Here is a 7354-nt window from a genome sequence, read left to right as displayed (position 1 = left end):
TTTATTATAGAGCAATAGAAAACAAATACACCAACAATCTTGAACACTACTGTATCTACCTCACCACTCCTGGTAACTCTCATCCCACCACCATCTGGTTTCTTCACTTATCTCTTTTCTGAACTTGCTACCTTTACTGGCATTCACTGGTCTCCAATAATGCCAGTGTTGCCAAATCCAGTGATTGCTTTTTGGCCTTTTCTTACCTGACTGCTCAGCCTGTAGTGGGAAAGGTCTCCTGTCTGTGTTCTCCATTCATTGGGCTCCTCAGTTTGCAATGAGATTACCTCCCTCAGTTTCCATCTAGTAATGGGTGGTGTGGTAGGCAACTTCTGACCTGGCTCCCAGTGATTTCTCCTCCTTGGATTTGCACCCTTATGTAATGGGCCTTTGAGTGTAAGCTGAACCTAGTGACTTGTTTCTAATGAATAGAATATGTCCAAAGCAATGGTATGTTACTGATGGCAGCAGCAGCCCATCTGGAGCAGCTGCTGCAAGGATTTCAGCCACAGCAGGATAGGCATGACTGGAGCTGTGCATTCTGTGGAGCTGGTGGGGGCCGGGAATAGGTGATCCCAGTGGGAGCCCCATGCCCCACCAAGTTGCCAGGGTGGAAGCCCATGCTGCTGGGTGCAGCTGCAGCCACCCAGCCACAGCTCCAAACCTGAGCATTCCTGCACTCTCAGGGGCCCAGGGAGCCCCCTGGCCCCACAGGCTTGGAAGTGCCTGCTCTCACTCTCTGGCTTCTCCCCACTCCCAGTGCCTGTTCCAGTGTGGAGCAAAGTAATGGCTGAGCCTGGATGCTGTTGCAACCCAGCCAGGTGTGCATGCACTTGGGGCAGCATGAACACATCAGCTCCCTGCTGCCTCAGCCCCCCTCTGGATTTTGGGCACCTACAAGTGCAGGAGAGAGGCTGGCAGTGGTGGCTGAGGACAGGTTGGCACAGGCCTGCAGGTGTCTCTTGGCACAGAAAGCCTAGGTGTTGTGGACAGCATGTTGTTGGCAGTGGGAGGCAGACAGTTTCCTGGGTGGGAGGGGGCAGGTCCCCAGTGAAATTCTACCTTCAAGCCAGAGACAGCCTGAAGCCTGGGGGCCAGGCTGCCAGTTACCAGTGGTGTCTGTGACAGGGAGTGAGAACTTCCTTGATGCCTTTTGGCCAATAAGATAGTGCTTTTTCCAGGACCACCCATGGCCACCCATGGACCAATCAGTATGCATACCCTCCCTTCTGAGCCGATATAAACCCCAGACTCAGACTAGTTGGACAACCTGTCTGCAGATGGGAGCTAGCCACTTTGGGTCTCCTCTCAGCTGAGAGCTGTTCTGTCACTCAATAAAACTCCTCTCTGCCTTGCTCACCTTCCAGTTGTCCATGTAACCTCATTCTTCCTGGACCTGGCAAAAGAATTCGGGACCTGCCAAATGGTGGGAGCGAAAGGAGCTGTAACATGTTCCTGGTCAGTTTGCCAAACTGTGGCCAGTGACATGCTCCTGGACTGCAGGATTGAAGAGTGGCAACTCTTCTGGGGACCCAGGCCTTGGGATTCTCCAAGCCAGAGTTGCTGTAACACTATAGCTCTCCTGCCCTCTGCTGGCACCAGGTGGCTGCCCCATGTGACAGGAAGCAGTGGCAGGGCTGGGCCAGTTCAGGAGCCTCAGGCCAGAGTGGGGTGGTGGAACTGAAAGAGCTGTAACACAAATGGGCTGAAACACGCCCCCTGGAACATGGGCCCCGTCCAACTCACCATGTTGTGGACGACGAGTAGAAAAAAACCTGTGGCCCTTCTGGGAGCCCAGACCTCAGGGTTCCCTGAGCCAGAATGGTGACACACTAAAACACCCTCTTTGGGGCTTTGCAGTTCCCGGTATCTCTGAGCTTTCAGGGGCCATCACATTCCCCTTGTCCAGTTGCTGGTGCCCACAGTGGAAGCCACTTGCAGTGTGTCTGGTCCAACCACAGACTCCCACGGGGCCAGCACCTGTACTGGCACCTGGAGTTGCCTGCCCCGCCACAGCAGCTGGCATGCCTGGCTGTGCACAGTGGCTGGACCCCGTGCTTGCTCATTCACACACCCCTCACCACTCCATGCCTGGCTCACCCTTCGCAGGCATGGGATCTGGGATGGTAACACAAGCCGAATGCAGCCTGCAGGGCTGAGTGGGTGGAACAAGCCCAGCGAGCATGAACAAAACTCAATCAGTGGCACCACCAGCCACAGAGATTTCTGGCTAACAAAGCAACACCTGAAGGATCCTGTGACATTACTGCTGAAATTAAGTTACAAAAGGACAGTCACTCCCATCTGCCATACCATTTTACCCTCTTGCTTGCTTGCTCTGATGAAGCCAGCTGTCATATGAACAGCTCTATGGAAAAGTCCATTTGGCAAAGAACTGATGGAGCCCTCTGGCCAACAGCTGTAGAAAACCTGGGGTCTCAGTGCAACAGCCATGAAAGAAGTGAATCCTGCCAACAACAACATAAGTTACTCTTGGATTTTAGTCTTTCCCCAGTTGAGCCTTGAGATGAGATTGCAGCCTGACCAATATCTGGGTTGTAGCCTTGTGAGAATTTGAGGCAGATGCACCCACCTAAACTGCACTGCTTCCTAACCCACAGAAACTATGAGACAATAAATGTTGGCTGTTTTACGCCATTAAGTTTTAAGGTAATATGTTACGCAGCAATAGATAAATAATACAGGTGGTCATAAAGAGGATATACCTAGACATGAGGAAGATAGGACTCTTGATTGTGTAACCAGACCTCACAGTTAAAAAGTAAATTAAAAAGTAAACCATGAGGTCTCTTAACAAGAACAGAAAAAGCAATGTATTGTTGTCTCAAAGATTGAAACACAGTTTAGGGATCATAATGTAGTCCAGGATTTAACTCATCCCCAATTTACCAGGTTGTCTCATTCTCCCTCCAGCAGCTAAAGTCTGTTGACTCCCACCTTCATGCTCCACAATGGTAGAAACTCAGTTCTGTTTTTACAGCTTGGCTTCTTTTTTTGCCAAACAGCCACCTCACCCCCTCTTCTTTCTCATGGCTTCTACTTGCATGTGCTTTGGTCACCTCATGAACCCTGCTGCTTACTTTCTCTGCATGTGTTTCTCAACACATGTATTTCATTTGCTAGGGCTGCCATGAGAAAGTGCCACAAACTGGTTAAAGAACTGGTTGTCTCACAGTTCTGGAGGCTAGAAGGCTAAGATCAAAGTGTGGGCAGGATTGCTTCCTCCTGACAGCTGTGATCCTCCTGACAGCTGTGAAGAAAAATCTGTTCCATGTCTTTCTCATAGTGTCTGCTTTGTTGTTGTTGTTGTTGTTGTTGATTTGTTGTCATTCCTTGGCTTGTAGAAGCATTACCCCCACTGTCTGCCTTCATCTTTTTTTTTTTTTTTTTTTTTTTTTTTTTTTTTTGTGAGATGGAGTCTAGCTCTGTTACCCAGGTAGGAGTGCAGTGGCGCGATCTCAGCTCACTGCAACCTCTGCCTCCCAGGTTCAAGTGATTCTCCTGCCTCAGCCTCCCGAGTAGCTGGGACTACAGGCGCGTGCCATCACACCTGGCTAATTTTTGTATTTTTAGTAGAGTCAGGGTTTCACCATGTTAGCAGGCTGGTCTCGAACTCCTGACCTCATGATCTGCCTGCCTTGGCCTCCCAAAGTGCTGGGATTACAGGTGTGAGCTACTGCACCCGGCCATGTCTGCCTTCACCTTAACATGATGTTCCTCTGTGCATGCGTTGGTGTTCAAAATCCCCCTTCTTATAAGGCCACAAGTCACACTGGATTAGGGGCCTTACTTCAGTATGACTTCTTTCTAACTTAACTAATTGCATTAGCAACAATCCTATTTTCAAATAAGAGCATATTCTGAGATATGGTGAGTTAGCATTTCAACATATGAATTTTGGGGGGACGTAATTTAAACCATAACAACACCTGCTGCCACCTCTGTCTGTATAACCCCAGATTCCTGATAAAAAGAGCCCTATCGATCCACTTGGTCATTGCTGATTTATTTGATCAAGGTTCTCACACCAGGACTTCCTTACAGAACTATAAATTCGTTGAATTTTGATGAAAGACCATGTGGCCCAGATCATAGTCATCTGTGTATCTGGATAATTAATGACATAGGGCTGATTCCCTCCACAGTGATCTGTGAAAGATAATCACTTTGAAAGGAGTTATGGGGAAAACAGGCACAAATTCCCAAGCTTGCCCTCCCCATTAAAACTTAGATGACATTCCTGCACCCCCTCCCCTCAATTTTACACCCTCTTCTTTGGTGCTCAGCATTAAGCCATTCTTTCTCCGCTTCTGTTTAAGTCTTAGTTCTTCAGGCCCTTGTTCTCAGCCCTATACTCTTTTTTTTTTAAACAATTTGCTCTTGGCAACTTCATCAAAATCTGTAGCTTCACCTGCCACTTTGGACTTCTAAGTGTATTCCCACAGCCTAAGCCACTCTATTATGCATATTTATTCAACTACTTGCTTAGCCTCTCTACCTAGGTGTCACATAAGTTACCTTAGACTCAACAGGTCCAAACCTGAACTCACCACTTCACCTCCCACAAACATGCCTCTCCCCAAATTCACCCCATCTTAGGATCCTCCCAGCCCCTCCAGTGGAAACACTGGCAGTGCCTCCCTCTCACCTGTTACCCAGACACATTCACTCAGTTACCAAGGCCTATGGCTTCCTCCTACATATTTCTCAAATTTTTCCCCTTGTAGCTATTCCCACCATTGCACCTTAATTCAGGGCCTCTTCACTTCTTTCCTGGATTATACGAATTCTCAATTCAGCTTTCAGAATATTATTTTTCAAAGCATAAAAGTTATTTCATTATTTCCTTCAAAAAATCACTTCATAATATCTGATGTATTAGGGATAAATTTGAAGCACATTAAATATTTAATGTCTAGGACTCTGCCTATTTTTCCAGCCCTTCATCTCCTGCTGTATATTAAGGGATACCTACTGTAAGATATTAATAAACCATATTAAAAGGATTCTGATCAACTGCAATCTAGTCTTGTTCATCTTCACAAAAATACTCACCGGAATTTGATTTATATATACTTTATGTTAGCATTTATCAAAATTCCCACTGAATCTTGTATGTTACATTATCATAGTCTTTACCACATTGTGCTATAATAAACAATTTACTTGGTTATTTTCCCTATTAGAAAATAAATTCCCTGTAGACATTATCTATTTTGCTGTATGCTCCCAGAGCCTAGTGGTGTGCTCAATAATTTGTTGTTAAATAAATGTATAAATATATTAAATGCTGTAGTGAACAAACTGCAGTTATTGCCTTTAAGGAATCATATTGGAGGAAACACAGGTTTAATAATTAATTATAATACCAACTTAGATATCTGCTACTAAACTGGTACTAACAAAGTGCAACAGGCTAAAATGAGAAGAGATATGCCTTGAGGGAGCCTGAAGAGTTGAAGAGGATGGAGTCTGATATTCTTGTTAAGGAGACTGGGACAAGATGAATTCAAAGACACCATTCAACATCCTAATCCTGGAAATAATGATGGCTCACAAGTCCATCCCTTTGGAAGAATCATTCCTTCATATGGATAATCACATCAGCCTTTGCTTTCAATCTAAGAAAGAAGCTTTTACAAGTTCACATAATAATCTTCCCAAGTCTAGTAATCTGATGAGAAAGCTTTGTCGTCTAAGGAAAAGATTTTGTGGCAGAGCCTATTAACAATGTGAAGGGCTGCTTTATAAGATAGCAAATTCCCTATCACTGGAGATGTCCAACCAAAAACTGAATAACTTACTTTTAGGGAATTTTTTAAAAGGTGCCCCCATACTGGGTGGAAAGATAACTCATTTTATATAAGGTCAATTCCCAGCATGAAATTGACTATTCTTTGTTTCTAATAGTTACCAATAAAACGCACCTTCTCAGATCCTAATGATAGAAAAGAGATTTGATAGAACTATTGTATTTTTTAAAGTCTGTATCTTCCAGGCTTCATATCAGACAGTATATAAAAGACATGTTTCTTCTATCTGTTCATTAAATTTCTCAAATTTTATTGACTTTTTCTTCCACTTTTAACACTATTTATTAAAATTCATTTTAATTCTTTTTACAGTTTGTATACGTATGTGCATGAGTGTGTATGCATGTGTACACACGAGGGACAGAGAGACAGAAAGTATGCTCTGTGGAGTTGAATGTCAAGAGGGATTTATTTTTGTTCTTTCCAAATACTTGGACAAAAGAGTTACACCTGCAGCACATTACAAGGTTAACAAGGGATTTGAATCTTGAAATGCCATTCATCTTGAAGGAGCAAGTGCCCAGTTTTCTATAAATGAAATGCCATGTTATTTTTAGATAAGCCTTTTTTTTTTTTTTTTTTTTTGCCAAGAGGATCCAGGACGTGGTGAACAATGTACAGTCTGATTAGCATACCTATTTAAACATGTGAATGTCTGCGGTTCCTTAATGTTACTTGCAATAAGTCTGTGGCAAGCCTATTCCCTTAGCGAGGGTGCATTATTTAGTTCATAAATTTAAAAGAGAAAAAAAAGCCTTTCAAAGAATTCAGGCTTGTTTACTAATAACAGCACATGGAAGTTTGAAGTGAGAGTTCTATTAGAGTATAGTTCTTGTTAAGTAGGGCACCGAAGTATATTTCCAACCCAAGGTCTCTTAAAGAGTTTTCACTGACATCTATTTTGCTAGATCTAGATATGCTCACCCAGAAGGCAGAGTCCAAAGACCAATCATTTTAACAGTTTACCCCCAACACACCCAAGAGAAAAGCAGACTCAGAACATTAAGCAGAAACAAAACAGGTAGGTGATTGCTACTTTATTAGACCGTTGCAGTTGAGAAAATCTGTCATGAAAAACAACCCCCTAGATAGGTTGTGGGGATACTTATGAGTATGTATGAAGAGCAGTCTATAAGCAGGGGGTTTTGTGTGGCTATAATTCTCTGTCACTACGGAGGAAGGTTCTGGAAGGCTCATCTGCTGCACTGTAAAGCATGTTTCATTGGATTTTCATATCTGACTCTCCCTTTCTTTACAGCTTCTTGCTGAGGGATCATACAATAAAAAACCTATCATTTTAGCAAATGTACGCTTTTAAAAGTAGGCACATTTTCAAGTCATATTCCATTGCTTCCCTGGTCTTTCAGCCACCTCACTTTCATACTTAAATTACCAAACTCTTTAGTGGTGGGGGCTTCAATACAGCTTCTAAATTTACAGAGAGGACTAGTTCATACAAATCACTGCCCCAGGGCATGTATGGAGGGTTTGTATTTGAATGGTCAGTGCCCTTCCCAAGA

General features: G+C 43.9%; 2 annotated features.

The window, feature by feature from the left end:
- Positions 315 to 814: an enhancer, noted in NCBI's record as "H3K27ac hESC enhancer chr13:79451327-79451826 (GRCh37/hg19 assembly coordinates)". NCBI's record gives its function as "activates a minimal SCP1, AML or CMV promoter by ChIP-STARR-seq in naive H9 embryonic stem cells {active_cell/tissue: H9 hESC(naive)}" and the evidence as "EXISTENCE:reporter gene assay evidence [ECO:0000049][PMID:30033119]".
- Positions 815 to 1316: an enhancer, noted in NCBI's record as "H3K27ac hESC enhancer chr13:79450825-79451326 (GRCh37/hg19 assembly coordinates)". NCBI's record gives its function as "activates a minimal SCP1, AML or CMV promoter by ChIP-STARR-seq in naive H9 embryonic stem cells {active_cell/tissue: H9 hESC(naive)}" and the evidence as "EXISTENCE:reporter gene assay evidence [ECO:0000049][PMID:30033119]".

The sequence above is a fragment of the Homo sapiens genome, chromosome 13, assembly GCF_000001405.40.
Source record: "Homo sapiens chromosome 13, GRCh38.p14 Primary Assembly".
Lineage (NCBI taxonomy): Eukaryota > Metazoa > Chordata > Mammalia > Primates > Hominidae > Homo > Homo sapiens.
The sequence above is the reverse complement of the archived record's forward strand: the minus strand, read 5'-3'. Positions and strand labels throughout refer to the sequence as shown.